This window comes from Homo sapiens, chromosome 3 (assembly GCF_000001405.40).
Source record: "Homo sapiens chromosome 3, GRCh38.p14 Primary Assembly".
Classification (NCBI taxonomy): Eukaryota; Metazoa; Chordata; class Mammalia; order Primates; family Hominidae; genus Homo; species Homo sapiens.
The window spans coordinates 94,084,702-94,108,242 of NC_000003.12; the positions used below are offsets into that span (position 1 = coordinate 94,084,702).

General features: G+C 37.1%; 1 protein-coding gene across 2 annotated transcripts in view; it reads left to right on the plus strand.

The window, feature by feature from the left end:
• NSUN3 (NOP2/Sun RNA methyltransferase 3) overlaps window positions 1–23,541 on the plus strand; it is a 68,772-nt gene that overhangs the window by 21,641 nt on the left and 23,590 nt on the right. For both annotated transcript variants that reach the window (NM_022072.5, XM_047448684.1), the window contains exons 4-5: window positions 9,439–9,593; window positions 10,332–10,453. In NM_022072.5, the coding sequence (NP_071355.1) occupies window positions 9,439–9,593; window positions 10,332–10,453 (277 nt within the window). The remainder of the gene's footprint in view (window positions 1–9,438; window positions 9,594–10,331; window positions 10,454–23,541) is intronic.

Consider the following 23,541-nt stretch of genomic DNA (forward strand, 5'->3'; position numbering starts at 1 on the left):
ATAATATGAATGCTGATAAGCCTGATAGGTATTTTTTATTGTTTACCTTTATACTTGAGAGTCTTATGTAGATATCCCTGTCATACTTTTCTGCAACAAAAACATATACATTTAAAATAATTTTTGATGTCAATAGACTATAAGGTTCCAAGGCAATTCTTTCCAGTAGAAATATAATGTGAAGTATATATATACCCTTAAATATTTAAGTAGTTCCATTTTAAAAAGTAGAAGCAGGTGAAATTAATTTGAATAATACATTGAACCAATACATTCAAAATATTGTTTCAATATGTAATCAAAATAGAAATAATGAGATATTTTACATTCTCTCTTTTTTTTACAGGTCTTTAAAATTGGTTACGTTACAGTTACATCACATTTCAGTTGAGACTAGCCACATTTCAGGTGTTCATAGCCACATGTGAGAAGAGGGTATAGTATTGGACAATCCAAAAAGTCTTTTCAAGTGACTTTTTCATTAATATTATTATTAGAACCAAAGTGATACACAGGTTTACAAATATTTGTTAAAAGTAACAAGTCAACATTTACAATTTTTACAATATTTACAAAATTTACAATTTTTTTCTTAATAATTTTTCTTTTAAAGCTAATTCTTTTTTTAAAAAACTGATACAGGCTTCCCCGAATAAATATTACCTACTACTAGAAGAGGCAGAGTTCAGCATCAATTCTGTCTGTTTTTTGTGTGATGGTTCTGTTTTTATAGATGCCAGTGCTGTTCACACAGATAAGAAGATGGAAATGTTGGCTGGGCGCGGTGGCTCGTGCCTGTAATCCCAGCACTTTGGGAAGCCAAGGCAGGCGGATCGCTTGAGCTCAGGAGTTCTAGACCAGTCTGGGCAACATGGGAAAACCCTGTCTGTACAAAAAGATTCAAAAAATTACCTGGGTATGGTGGTGCATGTCTGTAGTCCCAGCTACTCGGGAGGCTAAGGTAGGAGGATTGCTTGAGCCTGGGAGGCAGAGATTACAGTGAGCTGAGATTGCACCACTCCACTTCAGCCTGGGAAACAGAGTGAGATCCTGTCCCAGAGAAAATTGTGTTACAGTTGTTTTACTGTTTCTTCACACTCCTGATTTGTAGCCTCAGATCACATACAGATCTTTCATCAAGCATTATTTTAAAGATCTATTAGGTAAGCACTCTTTAAGTCCATTTTTAATTTTGTTGAAAGCAAATGACGTGACACCATCTCAATTACAAAAGGCAGTGTTGCCTTTTTTTTTTTTTTTGAGATGGAGTCTCGCTGTGTCTCCCAGGCTGCAGTGCAGTGGCGTGATATCAGCTCACTCCAACCTCTGCCTCCCAGGTTCGAGTGATTCTCCCGCCTCAGCCTCCCGAGTAGCTGGGATTACAGGTGCCCACCACCATACCTGGCTAATTTTTATATTTTTAATAGAGATGGGGTTTCACCATGTTGGCCAGGCTGGTCTCAAACTCTTGACCTCAAGTGATCTGCCCACCTGGGCCTCCCTAAGTGCTGTGAGCCACTGTGCCTGGCTGACTTATTCACTTCCTCAGCCAAAACACTGATGTGTTGAACTGCCCTTGTTTGATGTTCTGGAGGTTTCGATACCCTGGCACATTCTACCATAATAAGATTCTAGATGTGTGGGAAGCTTGCTTGTCATTTGTAAAGTTGGTGAAGGACCTTGTGAAAGGAGATGCCCCACTGGAAGTGTTCTCCTCCTTTAGGAAGTTGATGATCTGAAAATGGATTCTTTTGAAACTGTCCAAGCCTTCCTGTCCCTTAGAACATTGGTGTGTATCCCCAAGGCATGTATGTTCCAGTTTGAAGACTGCTTTTATACTTTTATATGAGAGCATTCCCTGTTGAAATAGATTTAAAATTCTTTTATGAGAAACGTGAATCCAGTTGTACTAGGCATTGGTACAAATATATCAGTTAACTGTATATTTAGGAGGAAATATGCCCAATGTTTTAGAGTTCTGGTTAAAACTCAGCTATTGAAGCTTGCTGTATTTTAAAATAAGAAATCACAGCAAAAATGTTATTTTACAAGTTTACCTCGTTATTTTTATAATTTGAGCTGAAGTTTTGTGGAATTGTATGTTATAAGGAGCACTTATTTTTACTTCTACTCTATGTCCTTTGACATTGTTTTTATAAGTTAAAAGGCTTATACTAATTAATTCAGGATATGGAATTTTAGTATTATAAAGGATGAAAGGGAAATGTCAAATTTGGTTACCATTTTGAAGAGAGGGCATTTTAATTCTAAATTATCCTCATTAGTAGGCTATAAATATTTTACACATTTATAGTAGCAAAGTTGATTTGATTAGGAACCCAAAGGCAAACTGATATATTCTAGCAGTTTGAAGTTGAGAAGAATCTTCCTGTTCTTATATCAAGGGCAATGAACTACAGGCAGTGTTCCAAGTAAAGTAGCTTTTCATCTAAGTAGGACTAATGATAATGATTTACTAAGAAGTACAGATGTCTTCATGCTGATGCTTAAAGCCCAAGTTAGGTTAGCTACAGTGCTTGAATTTGGAATGTAGAAGCAATACTAATCAAAGCTTTTATAAGCAAAATGTAAAATGATGGCTGCACTAAATGTGCATTTGTACACCAAATTTCTTTAGATCAGTACTGACCTTTATTCTGGGCCAAGAGGCTCATGGCTTTGAATGATTACAAAGCTTATGTTTTAGGATGATTTAAAAAAAAGAGTCTACTTTCTGTTGGTTCAGCTGCTCTCACCTGTTACCACATTGATGGACTCACCATGGTTGTTGTCAACATAGCCTTTTTAATGTCCTGGTCTTGGCAGAAAAAGAGCAAACAATATGGATTCTAAATGGGAAAACATTAGCATATTAACTAAGGATGACCCAGCTTGGTAGATTGTCTTAGTCAACTTTCTGGCTGAAGGCTATGTCCCTCTAGGCATGAAAATCTCTTTGATGTCAGTGATAACTTTTTTGGTTTTTTGAGACAAGGTCTTGCTCTGTTGCTCAGGCTGGAGTGCAGTGGTGCGATCTTGGCTCACTGCAGCCTTGACTTCCTGGGTTCAAGTCATCCTCCCTCCTCGGTCTCCCAGGTAGCTGGGACTGGGCACATGCCACCAAACCTGGCTAATTTTTGTATTTTTTGTAGAGATGGGGTTTCACTATGTTGCCCAGGCTGGCCTCGAACTCCTGGGCTCAAGCAGTCTGCCTGCCTTGACCTCCCAAAATGCTGGGATTACAGATGTGAGCCACTGAGCCCAATAGTGATAACTTTTTGATATCTGGTTAGTAGAGAAGACTGAAAAGACTCCTTTCTTGGTTTAATTGCTTTTGCTCTCCTTCCTGCTTCTTCATCTCTAGTCCTTTTTGCACATTCTACAGGTGTCTCTTTTTCCTTTCTCTTCCCCTGCTCCTTTTCATCCTTCAGATTATACTTCAGGATTTAATTTTCCTGGAATGCCTTCTCTGAACTCCCTGCATTAGGTTCATCTTCTTTGTGGGAATGAAAATAATAACCATTTTGTAACACTTTGTATGTGCTAAGGATTGTGTTAATCACATTGCTTAAACCTCTGCTTTTCAAACTTTTTTTAGTAGTCTCTGCTTCCAACATCTTGTTTTTTATTTATTTTTTCTTTCTCTCACTTTCTCCCAACAACTTTTGTTATATCCTCATATATAAATCTTTCTAAAATCCTAGGGCTCTGAGGAACTGTGACTATCACTGATGACCATTATTTAACTCTCCAGCTCTGTGAGTTGGGTATTATTATTCCCATTTTAAAGAGTTATCTGAGACAAGGAGAAGTACCAAATTGCCTAAGGTAACTGGCAGAGCTGGGATCTGAACTCAAGTTTTCATTGTTGTAGTTGTGCTATTGACTATTCTAGGGTCTCTCAGTAATACACAAATGCTGACTTCTGTAGCATCCTCCGTTAGTGTCCTGGAGCATAGGGACAGATCCTTTTTTTTTTTTTTTTTTTAGACATAGAGTCTCTCTCTGTCGCCTAGGCTGGGGTGCAGTGGTGTGATCTTGGGTCACTGCAGTCTCTGCCTCCTTGGTTCAAGCAATTCTCATGCCTCAACCTCCCGAGTAGCTGGGATTATAGGCACATGCCACCATACCTAATTTTTGTATCTTTAGTAGAAATGGGGTTTCACCACGTTGGCCAGGCTGGTCTCGAGCTCCTGACCTCAGGCGATCCACCGGCCTCGGCCTCCCAAAGTGCTGGGATTACAGGCATGAGCCCCCACGCCTGGCCCAGATTATTATTTATCTTTGTGTCTGCAGCAAATAGCACTGGCCTAGTCCATAACAAGTCCTTAATAAACCAGAATCTGAAAGTGGTTGTACTCTCAAGTGAATTTTAATCTAATGTCAACAACATTTTAACAAATTAATCATTGCCATTTTGTTCTTTTGTGAATTTGTAACATTGCTTCCAGGTAAGTTTAAAGAAACTTACCATTATCCTTTGCAGCACTTTTTTTTACAGGTAATCAGGCATGAGTGGGGCAGGAGAGGGCTAACCCCCACCTACCAGGAATGTCAGGCAATCATCAGGCGATGACTTAGCTGTTATCACACTGCCTCTCTAAAAATGATAATTGGCAGCCAGTGCCAGGGAGAGGCAATTTCCTGATGCTCCACAGTTGTCACACTAAAGTGATAATTCATCACAGGCACCAGGGAGAGGCAATTTCCCAAACAGATAAAAACATTTGAAATTGGTAATCAGCTTCCAATAAAATCTCAGGAATTAGGCAAGTGAGCTCAAGCATGTGCATAAAGAGACAAAATGGCAGAGTGTGACCTTCTGGGGGCATTCCACTGAAAAGGGAAGAAAGCCTCAGGTGAGCATGCATACAAGTTTCTAAACACACTGTGCGTGCTCACCTTCCAAGTGTAAGGAGGGCACTGTGCATGTGGGGAGCTCACCCTTAAGGAAGAATGAAGGAAGAGGGGTGCAAGACACCGGAAGTGGGCCAGTGTATAAAGTCATAGGATTAAGGTTAAATGGGGCACTTGACCTCCAGAGTACTCGCTTGGGTCTCTTCCAAGTGAACTGTCCTTTCTTTCTTGCTCTAAAGCTTTTGAATAAACTTCCACTCTTGGTCTTAAACTTGGCTTGGTCTCTTTTTCTGCCTTATGCCCCTCAGTCTAATTCTTTCTTCTGAGGAGGCAAGAATTGAAGTTGCTGCAGACCCATATGGATTTACCTCCCACTAACACTTTTAGTACATAGGACAGTATCATTATTCCAATTATAATATTGAGAGGAACATAGAAAATGATCATAAATTATAGCTTATGGCTCCAAATAATTGGAAAAACTGGAAAGAAGGCAAGATTATTGTTTTTAAGTTAGGTCTACTAAAATAAATGAATGAATGAAACTACCAATTTCAGTTTCTTTCTTTGGACCAAAGATTGCCATGTACAAATGCTAAATCCTCAGGAATTTGTTAAATATGCCCCTTTTCCTGTTAAGATGAAAAAAAAAATTAAGATTTGGTTGTTTTTGACAATTTAAGCACAAAATTGTCTCAATGTAGTAAGTGTTAGTATATATATGAAACTTGCATTGTGACACTTTATATTTCATATTTTTAAAAAGTTTAACCAACCTAAGACCATTTCAAATAAAGTCTACGTGTAAGCAATAATTCTGCTGGAAGCTATTTTAAAATGCTGACTTGAGAATCTTGACTCAGACTATATATAATTTAATGAAAAGCTGCCCTGATCTTCAGTCGTAATAATTTAAATATTCATTATTATAATGCCATGCTTCAATCAAGTCATCTACATTTAATATGCACATACTAAATGCAAGGTATTGGATGGTATGTGTATAGAGGTAAGGGATATAGAAATGATGAAGACTTCTGTTTCCTGCGGTGTGACAGACTGGGTACCCTAACCAACCCCCCTTAAGAAAATAACTAAAAATGTAGGATATAATATTAAACAAAAATTTTTAAATGCATCAATTATCTTTAAATACTTAGTGGCCAAAACCTAAGAGACAGTGGGAACCTTGAAGGTAAATTACGTACTGAAGCTGGCTTTTGACCTAAGAACATTTTCTTAACATGAAAAACTTACATGTTTTTTATTGCTTCATGAGAGTGAAGGAATAAAAAACAAAGCCAGAGCCTACCCAAGTAGAGCATCTAATAGAAGATTCACTTACATCAAGCTGGGATTCAAAGTGCTATACCCACCATATAAGGTAAACCAGGAAGAAATTGTCCTCTCCAAATAACTGCAAGGAAAACTGCCTGTCTTCAACTTTGATGCCGTGTTCCTCTCAATATTATAATTGGAATAATGATACTGTCCTGTGTACTAAAAGTGTTAGTGGGAGGTAAATCCATATGGGTCTGCAGCAACTTCAATTCTTGCCTCCTCAGAAAGTATGCTTCGAAATCATTACAGTGAAGTTGCAGAACACTGAAAATAAAGAGAAGACCTTAATAGCAACCAGAAAGAATGGAGAGCTTACTTTCAAAGGAACGATGGACAGAGGGTTGACTCTTGAGAACGAGAGTTCAAAGGAATATAAAAGATGACTATCAATCCAGAAATATATTCAGTCAATAATGCTCCTGAAGAGCAAAAGCAAAATAGAGAAAGAGAGAGAGAGATTAAGAGTTTTTCACCAACAATTCTGAAGGATATGCTTCAGGAAAAAAGAAAGCCATCCAAGATGGAAGATAGGAGTTAGAAAAAAAATGAATAGCAAAGGTGGGATATTATGTGGGGAGTGCCTAACCATCATTGGCTATATAAGACCATGATAATGTTTTGTGGTGTCCAAAAATGTAAGTCAAAAGAAAACCCAGATATACAATAACAGTAGCATCTAAAGCAAGAGTGTTACGAGATTCTTGTATCTTTTAGGAAAGTTGGTGAAAATTGACTTAGCTTAGATTTTTCTTAACACGTGCATGTTAAAAGTCTTTTGGGTTACCACTAGAAAAGTCAAAATAGAATGTAAAACATTTAAACTAGAAAAAGAGGAAAGTTGAATGAAAGGTGAGTAAGACCTCTTTTCTCTGAGGCCCTTAGTATTTGATAGGCAGTGGTGAACAATGGCAGGGGTGACTTTGGGGGTTATCTTGTGGACCCAGCTTATGCATCACTACAGATATGTTTGGCTTCATCTTTACTCCCATCCCTCACCTCGTGGCTGGAGCCACTTGAATTGTTTCCAGAGACTGGAGAAACCCTAGCAAAGGCTCATGCCATTCATGCAGTTATCTTCTGCTAATGCTACCACTGCCACAAATTGAAGAGCCTCCCAATGAGTGCCAGGTGACAAGCAGAGATCACCTCACCTGTATGCTTGCAATACCTGGCCTTGGGTACTGTCTGGTTTTTTTTAGCAGTTGCCTGAAGGGGTCAGGTACACAACCCCAAAGTTGGTAGAAGTTACCAGCTCTTGTTGTGGACTTTAACCAATGAGAGAAAGAGACAAAAAGCAGCCAGCAGATTGTTCTTCCTCCTTCCTCCACTAACCTCCAGTTCCTGAGAAGGCTCTGTAATTTCAAACTGTAGAGTTGCCCTGAGAGACTGACCAAAGCTCTAGGCAGCTTGATTACAAATCCTCCTGTATCTATCATGCTACTTCCATGATTTACTTCCTTTTTTCTCTCACTTTTGCTTCCTTAGAATTGCACCCTGTCCATACCATGAACTTCTGTCTTACATTGTTTTCTAGTGATCTCAAGCTAAGACGAGGGCTTTTAGACACCTATTTAAGTTCCATTAGTGAGTCCTCCAAAAGACACCCAAAATAAACATGAAAACTAGCTGTACAGATGTGCTTTAAGATGATTTTCTACTCCTCTTCTCAACAAAATTGATGCCATCTCCTGAGTGTCTTCCCTATAGAAATATGGAGCCCTGGGCCTGGCACGGTGGCTCATGTCTGTAATCCCAGCACGATGGGAGACCGAGGTAGGTAGGTCACCTGAGGTCAGGAGTTCCAGACCAGCCTGGCCAACATGGCGAAACCCCGTCTCTACTAAAAATACAAAAATTTAAAAATACAAAAATTAGCCAGACGTGGTGACGCACACCTGTAATCCCACCTACTTGGGAGGCTGAGGCAGGAGAATCGCTTGAACCTGGGAGTCAGAGGTTGCAGTGAGCCGAGATCATGCCACTGAACTTCAGCCTGGGCAACAGAGCGAGACTGCATCTCAAAAAAAAAAAAAAAAAAAAAAAAAAGAAAAGAAATATGGAGCCCTCGTAGTAGAGAAGGTAAGCCATACACAGAAACACCTCTCATGTGAGATAAATAAGAGAAGTACTGAGTATGTTTGGGAAATGGAGTAGTCCATCAAGTTTGGTAGAGCACAGAGTATACTGGGGAAATAGTGGGAGATTAAAATGGAAACATTGTCCTGAGGTCTGGCTATTATGGACCTTGATTTAAGGACTCTGCATTTGAACTTTACTCAGTGGATGATGGGAAGTCACTAAAAGTTTTTTTTTTTACTTTTTAACAGTGGAATGACAATCAGAAAAAAAAAAATATGTAACTGGGCATGTCCCTGTGGAGACACTGAAAGCCTGTGGAGTTGTTAAAATACATATACACATACATATACATATATGTATGTGTATATGTATGTATGTATGTATTTGAGCAAAGGCTTTACAATGTTTTTTCCCTTCTACGTTAAACTGTAATGTTCAGTTAGTTCTCTAGTATTGTTGCCTTGGTAACCTGACAGAGATTGTCACTATGATCTAGGCAAGATTGCTTATGATAAAGATGACCCTGATTGGTAAACTGCATGTGGGCTGGGAGAAAGAATAAATAACCCCTAGAGACCTGATAGAGGTGCCATGCTTTGGGTCTTCTGAGTGCAGTGATTCTTATAACTGGGCATGTCCCTGTGGAGACACTGAAAGCCTGTGGAGTTTTTAAAAGGAATAATGGTTCCTGTGGGACAGGAAGCTTTTAAGCCAGGACAGTTCCTGCGTCTGCCGCAATGTGAGTTTCATCTTCTTGCACCTGAATTACCACCTGTGTTTACTCTTAAGCGTTAGTTCTTTAGAGTGAGAGCCATGTCTGAGGTATTGGTTGTATAACATATCTTTAGGAATTTATAATTTTTTATAGGTTTTACCTCTAATAAAATTAAACTTGGTGGAGCAAATGCTGAGAGCTTCTGAGAGACTGTGTAGGCATGACTGTTGTAAATGTTTTATGTAGTAGGTATGTGCATCTATATATACATACACATATACCTTATTTCTGTTTTTAAAGCATAAGAAAATAATAATGTTTACCTCTGAGCCCTATTTCTGCATAATTATGATGAGTTAATTTCTTTCTGAAATTTATTTGCTGAAAAGTAGAAATTTAACAGTTCCATTGCCTTCATTTGAAACTTTTTAATCCTTTTTATTTAGGTTATCTTCATTGTAATGAATATGATAGTCTGAGATTGAGGTGGCTAAGGCAGACGTTGGAATCTTTCATCCCACAGCCTTTGATAAATGTAATTAAAGTGTCTGAATTGGATGGCAGAAAAATGGGAGATGCCCAGCCTGAAATGTTTGACAAGGTACTTTTATTACATTGTGACAAACTGATGGACGCCCAGTAATACCACTATTATGTTGCTTTGTGGTTGTTATTTTCCATCTGTTCTCAGACATAGCCTGATACAGTTTCTCAGTACCCTGGAAAATTTTGATAAAGTGAACATGGAAGCAGTTTTCATTTGATGGTCAGCATGGTTCAAAGGAAGCAGTAACATTGGGATTGAGGATTATAGAATGTTTTATATTGGCAGGTAACTCAAAGATACTCAGGAAAAGATCGGATATTATTTGGGTCAGTACTGTATTGCTTTAATTCAGTAACATTTCATATCAGAGTATGACAGTTGAAGAAAAAGAGGTTATTTCAGTAAGCTGAAGTTGAAATATTAGTTCTTAGAAATAAGTGCTGAGAATTCAGAAATATTATTAATGTCTGATTACAATGAGTAACTTTTGTAAAAATTTTTGCTGTGGTTGTCAAGGATATCAAATAGCATTAGTAGACCTAGTAAACTTTAATTCTCCCATCCTAAGCCCCCAAAAACAAACACTGAAAGTACATGGTAAGTTTTTCTGAAAAGTGTTAGTGAGGAAATGTCATAAGGAAAAACCTACTGTGGTGTATTTTCAGTTAAAAAAGAAATGTTTTTACTTATTTCCTATTTGTTTACCATGTTTTAGAGAACTTCTCTATCTACTTCGTGCCTGAGAATAGATTGTCAGTGCATATTTGCATCACTTGTCTTTTTTTTCTCTAGGTGTTAGTGGATGCTCCGTGTTCAAATGATCGAAGCTGGTTGTTTTCTTCTGACTCTCAGAAGGCATCCTGTAGGATAAGTCAAAGGAGGAATTTGCCTCTTCTACAGATAGAGCTGTTAAGGTAAGGACTGTTAATACAAAAGTGTATTTTGGTGTCTGATGTAATTTACACAGGCATAATAGAACATGTCAGGCCCCCAGTGGAGGGCTTGCTGTGTAGGTGTCAATGATTATTCCTCCAAAGGCTACACTCAAAAAATTCCCAACTTCTTCCCCTTTATCGCTCATACTGTAATGCTCACCGCCCCTCCCTCCACCCCCAGTGATGTGTAGTATTGCTGTGCATTGTCTTTTAAAGGGCATAGGCAATTTTACTGTAGTTCAAAGTTGTTTGCTCACTGGGACCCAACCCTGGGGGTTCATAGCCCTGTTTCTTTTACCAGAATCTGAGCAGCCCCTTAGGAATAGCTTTGAATCAGGATGCATGTTTTGTTATTGTTCTGGATGAATCAGCCCCTAGCAAGTTGTAGCTGGTTGTTAGCGCTTATCTCCCCTCTGAGAATTTTCCAGAAGGACCTGGCCACTGAACATTTGGTTTCATTAAGAACACAGCCATTTTGAAACATTATTGTTCGGGTTCCAACAGCGATTTTGACATATGCCCTACTCCCATGTAATTCTCTTGTTTAATGCTAAACCAAATTTTTTTGTTTGTTTGTTTGTTTGTTTTTGAGACAGAGTCTCACTCTGTCGCCCAGGCTGGAGTGCAGTGGTGCAATCTCGGCTCACTGCAACGTCCACCTCCCAAGTTCAAGCTATTCTCCTGCCTCAGCCTCCTGAGTAGTTAGGATTACAGGTGTGCGCCACCAAGCCTAGCTAATTTTTTTTTTTTTTTTTTTGTATTTTTAGTAGAGATAGGATTTCACTGTGTTGGTCAGGCTGGTCTTGAACTCCTGACCTCGTAATCTGCCCACCTTGGCCTCACAAAGTGCTGGGATTACAGGCGTGAGCCACCACGCCTGGCCACTAAAGCAAAATTATCTATAATATTTAAAATACAATTAAATGGTGCCTTAATCACTCATTACCTCTTGCACGTAGAAAGACAGTGAATGACAGTATGCATTTCCAACTTCTGACTGATACACAACAATAAACATATACCATTACCTAAATATTATAACCAATACTAATACATAGCCTTGTATCAGATTACGTCTCAGCTGATTATGGTGATTCTTGGTAGTACTTATCAGAAGGCTTTTCTGAACATTTCAGCAGTTAGACTATTTGTTTGTATACTTCTGATGTCCACCTTTCATGTAACACTAAGATATTTTGAAAACTTTATACCACCGTTCCCTTTTAGCCTTTGGGTTATTAGCTTTGAGATGACCTAGACCCTTCTCTAAATCATTTTTCTCACCTAAGCTGTTTTGATTTGGCTTCTTTGTTTTTTTGTGTGTTTGTTTGTTTGTTTTTTGAGATAGAGTCTTACTCTGTCACCCAGACTGTAGTGCAGTGGTGTGATCCCCGCTCACTCCAACATCTACCTCCTGGGTTCAAGCGATTCTCATGCCTCAGCCCCCCAAGTGGCTGGGATTATAGGTGCCCACAACCATGCCTGGCTAATTTTTGTATTTTTAGTAGAGACGGGGGTTTCACCATGTTGACCAGGCTGGTCTCGAACTCCTGACCTCAAGTGATCTGCCCGCCTTGGCCTCCCAAACTGCTGGTATTACAGGCATGAGGCAGCATCCCCCAGCCTCAGTTTCTTAATTATTCCTGCTACACCAGCCTTGCCATTGTTATTCCTTACACCTGTAACAGATACCAAATCTTGTGATGGCTTATTAACATTGTAATCTACATTTTTTAAAACCATAAGTAAGCAAACAGGCTTTCTGAGAATATTATTTTTCTTCTCTGTCTCCTGACAGATCTGCCTCTGACTTCCTTTTCTTTCTATTACCAGGTTTTCTGTGATATATTCTGTCTACTGTTTTTCCTCCCATTTTGTCTCAATTAATTATATTTTATCGTCTGTTTCCTTTATTCTTCCAAACCTATTCTTATTAAAGAACTATTAATTTTTAAAATTTTTAGAATTTTTAAAACATTTTTAATTATACAGGTAACACATGAAACCATTTTCATTGTAAAAAAATAAATCAAATAATACAAATGAAGCAAAAGGCCCTGTTGGCCACATGCCCAACCAAATATCAGCTTTCTTCTCAGAGTTAACTGTTGGATTAGTATCTGCATGTAGTGAAATACATTTTAAAATAACTTTTATCATGATATGTATATTCTTCTGTTACATGGTCTTTTTTTTTTTTAACCAAATATTTCTTAAGTCTTTTCCATGTAGATCTACTTTGTTCTCTTTAACTTACGTGAAACATTCAAGAGGATCTATTGTATTCCTTTTTAATCCTTTAATCCTCTATTTCTGGATATTTACATTGTTTGTTTGTTTGTTTACTTTTATAAACCATTCTTTAATTTGTCTCATCCGACAGGTCTGCTAGCATTTTTCTTGATTAAATAAATATTGAGAAGTAGAACTGAGGATCAAATACTTTAATAGCTGTGTTGAATTGTTCTCCAAAAAGGCTATACCAGTTTATACTCCCTGCTGCACTGGACTTTGTTTACTGCTTGCTCCCTCTTAAAATATTCTCTTCCCTTGACATTTGTGATCAGAGGCTTTCCTGGTTCTCCCTACTTCTCAGTTATGCCTTCTTCATATATTATTTAACTCGCTCCTCATCAGCTCATCCCACAAATTTTGGGTTTCTTTAGCCTACTGATATTGATCCTTTTCTCTATCTGATGGCTTCAACTGATATCTCCCAATACATGAGCTTAGACTATCTCTCAAATATGAATCTAAGCTTAGATCTTTCTCCTTAGCCTCAGACCTACATATTCAATTACCGATCCGAGATCTCCAGAAACTTAAAACTCAAATAATTAAGATAAAAATCATAATTTCTAATTCTCTTAGGAGAATCTTCACCAAATCGACAAAACAAAAAATCAGACTAGAAATTCCACCAACCTGCCTCTTCCCCCTCTCTTCTCGATTTTAGTAAATGCCACGCCACCATATATTTGCCTAAGTCAGACACCCATCTTCAACTTTCCTTTTTCTCATATATTCAATCAATCACTAAGACGTCTCAGTTGTACCTATTACATGTGTCTCAAGTTCACCCAACTCTCTCCATCCTGAATAGCCTAACCTAAGCCACCAGTATTGTCACCTAAATGATTTTAACTGGCCTCTAACTGTCCTACATATCTCCAGTTGTGAGCCATACTGCTTGATTCTCCACAGTGAAGCCAGAGTGACACATCCGAAATGAAAATCTCGTGTCAATTATCCTTCTGGAAATCCTACAGTGGTTCCCCATTACCAGCAAAATTTCACACTCTTTTTGTTTGTTTGTTTGTTTTTTTAATTTGGGGATTTTCCAGTGAAAACCAGGATTTGCTAGACGAATTCTAAAAGAGCTGCAATACTTCATACTGTTAGTGTAATACTCAAGTCCTCTTTTGACCTGGCCCCTTCTTACTTCAGCAACCTCATTGTCTCAGGACTCCTACTCATTTTGTTGCAACCATGCAGTTTCTCAACAGTCCACACAGTGTCTCATTTCTGAGGCCAGTGCATTTCCTGTTCCTTTTCCTTGAGAGTTATTCTAATTTACACTTCCCTTTCTCCTGGCAAACTCTACTGATTCTTCGGGAATCAGCTCTGACGTCTCCTTACTGAAGCCTTGCCTGACTTCCTAGGAGTGGGGTGGATATTGTCCTCATGTCCTTACCTTCACTTAAAGATACATTTATTGTCAGTTCCTCTGCTACTCAATTATCTAGTACGTGCCTCTCTTTTTGACAAGACTGTAAGCCCCATGGGAGCAGGGATTGTTTTATTATTTTTATTCCTACCATATAATTTGGTGTCTGGCATGTAGAAAAGACTAAGTAATTGTTTAAAAACAGTATATTACACGGGTTGAGTATTTAGAATTTATAGCTGTAATTAAATTGATAGCACAGTTAATCTGACAAAAATAATGATGTAATGATTATGCTGCATGGTGATTAGGCATAAATGTAAAGCAATTCCCATAATTTATTTTTATTAGTATTGCTTTTACATAGCCAAAACATGGCTATAGAGTTTAGTTTTTTTTAAATCATTTAATAAGCTTTTCTTAATATCGTATAGCATTTCAATCATCATTGCAAAAATCATTCACATGCATAAACCCCAGATAGGCACCTTCTTATGTCCCAGCAACTAAGGCTCTTCTGTAGTGGCCACTCCTCTCTTCCATCATCTTACTTCCCTAAAGGAATGGTTTTAGTAGCACATCACTTCAGTAGCAAATTGGCAGGGCACAAAACTGACATCACATTGAATGTAGGTTTTCATGTAATCATATGAGATTGGGAAAGGCTGTTGCACCAGCCATCTCCCATTCTTTTCCTTCAGCAGCTGCTCTACATTCCCTGCCTCTGCTTCCTGGCCTGCCTGAGAGGTTTTGGAATGACTTGAAGCAGCCAAAATTCCTAGTCCCTTGGCTATATGATTATGATGACAAAGGGGAGAGATTAAGATATCCAAGCTATAGGCAGAGAAAATGATCGGAGTCCTGACATCTACAAGTCTTGGGGTTAAAAAGATAAGGGGAAAAAAAATGATGATACCAGACACAATCTCTCTCTTATCTCCTGCCCTTGACTTCAAAAAATGAAAAAAAAAAAAGACTATAGCACTTTTATCATCAGGAATAGCTCTATTTTATCACTATCTCACTACCTAGAATTTCCTCTTGCCTGTCTTCCAATCTTTCCTCAGCTAGCTAGTTATTGCATTACCTTTCGTTAACAAAAGGCAATCCTTTTATTTCACAATATGAAATAAAAGGTTTTAAAATGCAGGCATGCAAGAGAGTAAAAACATTAATGTGTATGAGTTTCATTCATATGAAGGATTGATTGCAGATCCTTATTTTCATTTACAAAGAGCAATTGGAATGCAGATAAACAAATATTGTCTGGCCCCATATTTTGAGCAGAAGATGGCACTCAGAAGTGAGAAAAGGAGTGGAAAAGATAGTGAAGAGGTAAATAAGGGAAACTTTCTGATTGTACTATTTTCCAAAGGCTAGACTTGTATGTACATTGTCTGTTGACAGATATGGTGCTCAAAGATACTTTATACACGTGAGAACTTACACAGCCTTTAAAAGCAAGGACATTCTGTTATTTACTACAACATAGGTGGGACAGTAGGGCATTATGTTAAGTGAAATAAGCCAGAAACAGAAAGATAGATACCATATGATCTCACTTCCGTGTGGAATCTAAGAGTTGATCTCATAGAAATAGCATATAAAGGTGGTTACTGGAGGCTGAGGGTGAAGGGAAGGATGGGGAAAGGTAAGACATCGATCAAAGTCTAACTCTCGGTTAGACTGAAGGAATAAGTTATAATGATCTGTCGCACTATGTGGTGACCACAGTTAATTATGTATATTTCAAAATTGCTAAAAGAATAGATTTGTAGTATTCTTACCACAAAAGAATGATAAGTTGGTGGGGTGATAGATATGCTAATTAACTAGATTGACTCTTTCTACAATGTATACATAGACCAAGATATCACATTATACTCCATAAATATTTACAATTATTATTTTTCAGTTTTTAAAAAGGTATTTATGCCCTTTATGACTGCGTGAAGGCATGCAGTCACTTTATGAGAAATATTTATGTTACATAAGCAGTCTACACAGTGTTCAGAATTTCAACTTTTGGAAAGACAGTGTCCTATAACCATATACTCTATAACTCGATACTAATCTGGCACATTTTTATGAAAATTAATGTCTTATTTGATAAAAGTTTTTTTATGTTAATTTTTTTTTTATTTTTATTTAAAAAAATATTTTAGAGAGAGGGTCTTGCTCTGTCTCCCAGGCTAAAGCGCAGCAGTGGTGCGATCATAACTCACTGCAGCCTCAATCTCCTGGGCTCAAGTGATCCTCTCACCTAAGCCTCCTGAACAGCTGATACTACAGATGCATGCTACCACACTTGCCTAATTTTTAAATTCTTTTCTAGAGACAGTGTCTCACTGTATTCCCCAGGCTGGTCTCGAACTCCTGGCTCCAAGTGATCCTGACTCTTTGGCCTCCCAAGTGCTGAGACCATAAGCACGAGCCACTGTGCCCAGCACTGATGTTAAATTTTTTTTTTAAACTGTTAGTAGATATGTAATACTCCTTAAAATTTTTTAAAATTAATGTACATATAACAGTATATATAATGATAAAAATAGTAATGTAACTAGTTTTCTGGTTTTTTTTAACATGAAAAACTTATTGGAAGGCACAATGATGACAGGAGAAAGATCTCAAAACAATATGAGTTCTTTGTATACTTAAAGACTCTTTGATTTATCCATATAGAGGTAGAAGAATTAGAATTTTCTATTGAATTTACAGAACACAAAGATAAAAGTTACATAAAATTTTCTCACACATCTGTCCCAAAGCTATTTTCAGGAGATGAGAATGAGGGGCAAGGATAAAAGGAATAATTGAACATAAAGCAGTTCTATGAATGGAATGCCACTTAAAAGTATGCCTTTATTATCATTTCTCAAAATAATTTTTGAGCCAGTCATTCCTGTTACATGCTATGTTGTTCATACTATATAATCAAATTCTTTTGCCTCATTTGTATTTAAATGTATTACGAAAAATAAAGTGGGAAAATATACTGAAAATGAAATACATGTAGTCTTTAGAAAGTGACTATGATATTTGTATAAGAGAAGTTTACATGATTTTTAGGTGGGAAAGCACTAACTGAAGAATATGATTTATAACAAAAATAAAGGTAACTTATTGCAGTAATGTATCATGTCATTCGTTTCCTAGGAGAAAATGAATCACATTTAAAATACTGACCCCTTCTGGTTTTCTTTTCTCACTACTTGACAAGTAAAATCCAATTTGTGAGCTCATTGAAAAAGGAAGCTTAGATTATTCGGTAACGTTTTGAAAATTTGTATAAATCATCCAGATAACAATCCTTAAAAAGTGGCACTCTGACAGCAAGAATTGTGTTTTGAAAGAAACGTTAAAAAAAAAAAAAAAAAAAAAAACACTAACATCTATTCTCTGATGCACTGGAGCTAAGATAAGGAATACCTAGTTGACTGTGCAGCATGGCCTTCATCATTCATCAACACAGTGACCAAAAAATTGATGTGTTTATATTGGAAAAATAATATTTGAATATATGGGGCTATCAGAATGGAAGATTTCCACCACTGCTTCAGCTATGTATATGTTTTCTTTTTAAAGTTTTAATAATTCAGTTCATGTCGCATACTGTCATCGTATGCTTAGTCATATGTTTGGAATCCAGAAAACAAAAGCAAACTACTATTAACTACTACAATTACTACTAATAATTATTTTCTTCCTCTTTCTGTTCTTTCTCCTCTGTATTCTTCATCTTGTTTCTTTTTTCTTTAAGTTTAGGTGGCAGTAGTCAGAGGTTATGAAATTTAAAATGTGCAATTTGTTTGCAGAAAGTACACACTTCTTTTTAACAAGAGTTTACTGATCAAAGTATTACACATTCAATGAAATGATAAAAGATTGAGGAGCCATCCAAAGCTATAATTTGTAACTATTATATTTTCTTTCATAAAAAATGTGTCAAATATATATTGACAATATGAATACAATCTTGAAAATAAGATGTTATCAGCATTTATTAATTTATTTACATTATCTACTTTTTAAAATTTATTTATTTATTTATTTATTTATTTTGAGAGAGAGTCTCACTCTGTTGCCCAGGCTGGAGTGCAGTGGCATGATCTCAGCTCACTGCAACCTCCGCCTCCTGGATTCAAGCAATTCTCATGCCTCAGCCTCTCGAGTAGCTGGGATTACAGGTGTCTGCCACCATACCTGGCTACTTTTTGTATTTTTAGCAGAGATGGGGTTTTACCATGTTGGCCTGGCTGGTTTCAAACTCCCAACCTCAGGTAACCCACCTTCCTTGGCCTCCCAAAGTGCTGGGATTGCAGGCATGAGCCACCATGCCTGGCCTAACATTACCTACTTTGTACTGGGAACTTAGCTAAGCATTGCAGATTTTAAAATATGGAAATGATTCTTGTTCTCAAGGTCCTCAGGCCAGTTATCGTAAAATGTGGTAAGACCTATAATAGAGAGAACAGTTAGGGTGCTGGGGGAATAGAGGGAAGGATGCCTAACTTTATTCTTGTTAACAATGGAGTACAAAATAAGCAACAGGTAAATATTTAAACTAAAGAGATTTGTTTAATACACAATATTATTATACAATAGTATAATAATATACAATAGAGTATAATATACTGGAGCTAAGATACATATATTTATTGATTTATTTATTACCCTTGGCTGCTATAGTATGTAGAGTAATTTATATATATATACTATGTAGAGTAATTTATTTATTTATTACCCTTGGCTGCTATAGTATGTAGAGTAATAGGAATCATAATGATATACAATTGATATCTTTTTCCACTTAGTTTATCATGAACATTTCAATTATTCAATAGTCTTTGAAAACATGCCATTCCTTCATTTATTCAGGTAGTTAGGAATATCTAAAACTCTCCTTTCCTTACACGATCTGATTAATGCAAGAAATAGTACAAAAATGTATCCTAAAGGAGATTAAAAGATCAACTTTTTAAAGTTCCAGGCAAGAGCCTGGTAACTCTTTGGGAAGGAGTTATAGCAGCTGGCCTGTGATCCATTTCTGTTTTGATTTCCAGGGGGATACTCCTAAGGAAAGAAAGAAGGCAGGTGACCCAATTAAATCTTCTCATAAACATGTAGATAATTGGCCTCCTTGGTAAATAGACTAATGAGTTTTGCTAAGAGGATAGTTCTTATTTATGGCATGCTTTAAGCAGAATGTTCCTGGTTAGGATTGCCTATGGTAAATACAAACTAGCATCTATATAGATTTATGGGGCATGGCTTCCTAGAGATACCACGTATCAACTTCATAAGGTATGTTGTGACATAACCTAAATGCTCCCCATTGTGTGAGGCGACCTGTGAACATGATTTAGAGAATTCATCTATTCTGAGTTAGAAAGCCCATACCCAATACTGGTAGCAAGACCTGGGGAGCTACATCAGCTGTCCCAGACCTTTCTCTGCTTCTCTTGTGCCACTTGATTGCCTGTATACTTAAAATTATTATTAAATAGTAAAGCTTGATAGTGGATAAGGTCTCTGGTCTGTGTGAATCTGATTTGACAATTTGATCTTTTATGTTAGCTCACTCCTGAACCCCAACCAGGCCTCTGTGATGAGGCTGAATTGAGGGGCATGATTTGGACCTGAGTCCCAGTTGCAAGCTTTTTATTCCAGTCCCACGTCTAAATCTTGGGATTCAATCAACTCTTCCAACCAGCTATTAGACAGAAAATAAAAGCCTTGCCCCTTACATGCTTGGCATGGAAACATGATTAAGAGGATGAGGGGATAGCTTATTCCATAATTTAGCACAACAGTTATATATACAGTGGAGAGCTACTGAAGTATTTCTAATAATGAAATCAAATAATTACATTTATTTTAGAAAGATTATTACACATAGAGGGTAGACACAAGAGAGCAAACATAGAAGAAAGCAATTGAGAATAAATAATTAGGAAGTTATGGAATTTTTCCAGATGAGCAATGATTATCAATGGATTAATGTTAGAAGAAAGCAGTCTTCAAAATAAGATGATACTTTAAGCGTTTCATTAACTCACCATAGTTTATTCAATTTGTAAAATACCACGGATGTTAACAAGAGTTTAACATCTTTTTTTCTTAATAATTTGAAAAGCTTTTAATGGATATTTTACAAAACAAAACTGAGCCAATAAGTATAATAAGTATATTTAAGTATTTGAAACATGGGAGCACATAAATTCTTCTAGTTTAAAAAATTTGAACTGACTTTTCAAGATTTCTAAAGAGTGACCATTGCGTGCAGCAGAGGATGACCTGGCTATTTTGGGAAAAGGTGCGTCTTTGTCACTTGAGCATTCTTAGTTATCTCTTGGTGCTCTGTGTTCTTTTTGCCTCCCCCGAATCTTCTTTCTGTGGGAACAACGACTTTTATGATCCAAAGGATTGAACCTTGGGCTGAAAAACCACGATCCAGCCTATCCGTTAAGAGTCCCTGTGACTCTTTCTTCTTCTGTCAGCAAGATTTTCCTGGCATTTGGCCTCATTCTGCCACTCACTACAGGAATTTGAACTTACCATGCCATCGACCTAAATGGAGTCACTAAAATGCCTTTAGTAAATTTTGTAGGCTTTTATTTCTTTTTTAGTCTGGCTACTGCAGGAGTCAAATGACTTCTTTAGGAAAAGATGGTCATTTTTTTTCCTCCAAAGATTTATTTAGGACATTGGCGTTCAAACTCTGCTCTGTAAAGATGTAGGGTTTCTGTGGAATCGCTTGAGGAGCTGTCTTGAAGGAATAGATAGGGATGAACCGGAGACCCCCTTAGTCTGGCACACCAAATCTAGCTAGAGGCAGGGTATCTTTTTTCCGGTTAAGCATGTAGAATTTCACTTGAAGAAAGTTTCTTCTTAACACACACACATACACACACACACACACACGGTTTGAATAAACCCTTTTAAATCATTAAAATCAACTATAAGCAATCTCCATTCATAAGCACATTTGCCATGGGACAAAATCAGGTCAATTCTGGTGGTTTTCTTGAAGGCTTTTCTTTTTTTTTTTTCATTTGTATGAGTTAAGAGGCAATGGTTGATAGGTCAAAGACCCTACCTTGAAGTTAGGCAGGCCTAATGTGGGTTTGTTGTCACTCTTTGCTCACCTAAGCAACACAAAATGAGATCCTTATGTTCAATTTTAGTGGAGCAGTTTTAATCCCTACTGTTCCATACTCATATTAATGAGGCAATGAACTGTTAAGAAGAGGTAGTAAATGTGAAGTCTCCAAATGGAAACCAATAATAAATATGTTAAAATTTGTCATTTATAATCTATTTCAAAAATCTAATGTCATTACTCTGTTGTACTAGTACTTTATAAGAAATATTGAATATAAATATAAAGAAATATTCTTTATAAGAAATATTGCTTCTTCAAGGTAAAAACTTACTGTCAGTGGAAAGAAGATAATTATCAGCATTTGTTTTTGTTTCTGACAAAAGAATAGCCGCTGGGTATGGTATCTCTGAAAACGGCAAGCTTGGTCATGTTTCTTTATCTTGAATTTACAGAAGTCTTTTGATAATAAACAGTGTGATATCTAGAAATTTGATTACTTAACTGTGAGCACAGTGAAGGCTACCCTCAGGCTTGTAAAATAATACTTTTAAAACTGATGACGGCATTAGGTAACTATCAACCTAGAAATGTCTGTGTTTTAGATTCTTATAGTACCCTGAAACTTAATTTTAAATCTGCATCTATTTGATAGATTGTACATGAGCTTCAACTTTTCACCTTAATGTTTTCTTTGGTCGTAGTGTATAATAGTGGTCGGGGTTTTTTTTGTATTTGCTTTCTTGCCCAGACTGCTGTTTGCCAGCAGAAATAGTAAACTGATAGAAACAGGGTGAAATGATGAGAAACAGGCAGTGGAAAAATGAAAGAAATGGGAACTGCTGAAAAGGAACAAAAACAGAAATACTGGAAAGGAATACTAGAAGTCAACAATGTAGTATTAAAAAAAATGAAATGGAAAGGAAAAGTAAATGAAGAAAAAATTCCCAAAATGCTTCAGGGAAGAAAAGAAATGGTTAAAGATGTGGTTTTACCATTTGTTAAATTATATTGTAGCAATTAAAACTTTTTTTTTTTTCTTGAGACAGGTGCACTGGCACAATCTCAGCTCACTGCAACCGCCACCTCCCACGCTCAAGCAGTCCTCCCACCTCAGCCTCCCAAGTAGTTTGAACAATAGGTATACACCAGCTAATTGTATTTTTTGTAGAAATGAGGTTTTGCCATGTTGCTCAGGCTGGTCTCAAACTCCTGGGCTCAAGCGATCCGCCTGCCTTGGCCTCCCAAAGTTCTGGGATTACGGGCATGAATCACTGTGCCTGGCCTAATTAAAATATTTCTATTGCTGTATCAAATTAGGCATATATATGTTTTGTTGTTGTTGTTTTGTTTTTGTTGTTGTTGTTTGTTTTGAGGTGGAGTCTCACTCTGTCGTCCAGGAGTGCAGTGGTGTGATCATGCCGCCTTGACCTCCTGGGCCCAAGTGATCCTCTTGTCTCAGCTTTCTGAGTAGCTGGGACCACAGCATGTGCCACCACACCTGGCTAATTTTTTATTTTTTGTAGAAACAGGGGTCTCTCTATGTTACCCAGGCTGGTCTCAAACTCCTGTACTCAAGTAATCCTCTTGCCTTGGCCTCTGAAAGTGCTGGGATTATAGGTGTGAGCCACCATGCCCGGCTAATTTTTTTTTTACTAGATTAATTTTCTTTAAATCAGACAGTCTACTGTCTCCTGCCCCACTCTCCCAAACTCTGTTAGGTTTCCCTTTTGTTACTAGAAAGGCAGTGTAAGGGACAACTGACATTTTTAAATGTCTTAATGGTATTTTGGGGACACCATATCTCAATTTTAAAACAGTGGCCATGTTCCGTAAAGTCAAGTTTACTTTAAAAAGGTTACCAAACTGTTCTACTCAATCAGAAATGAGACCACAATTGCTAAGTAGCTGCCCTCATTAACAGGCTATTTTACTTTCTGTAGGAATTTATTATTTACGACCCAGTTGGCAGGAAGAAAAACCATTCTCATTTTTATAAATTACTTGTTAGCAAAAGCTTTTTTTTTTCCTTTTTTTTTTTTTTTTTCAGATAAAGCCTCTGGCCTCTATCATTTCCATTTGTTCTATAACATAAAAGTTAGAGGTTGCTTCAACTATTCTCTACTCAGAATTTTTTTTGATAAAATTTTTATTTTGATATAATTTTAAACTTAGAAAAAAATGTAAGAATAGTACAAGGAGCTCCTGTGTGCTCTTTATAGAGATTCATCAACTGTTTTACATTTCACCACGTTTACTTTTTTTTATTATTATACTTTAAGTTCTGTGATACATGTG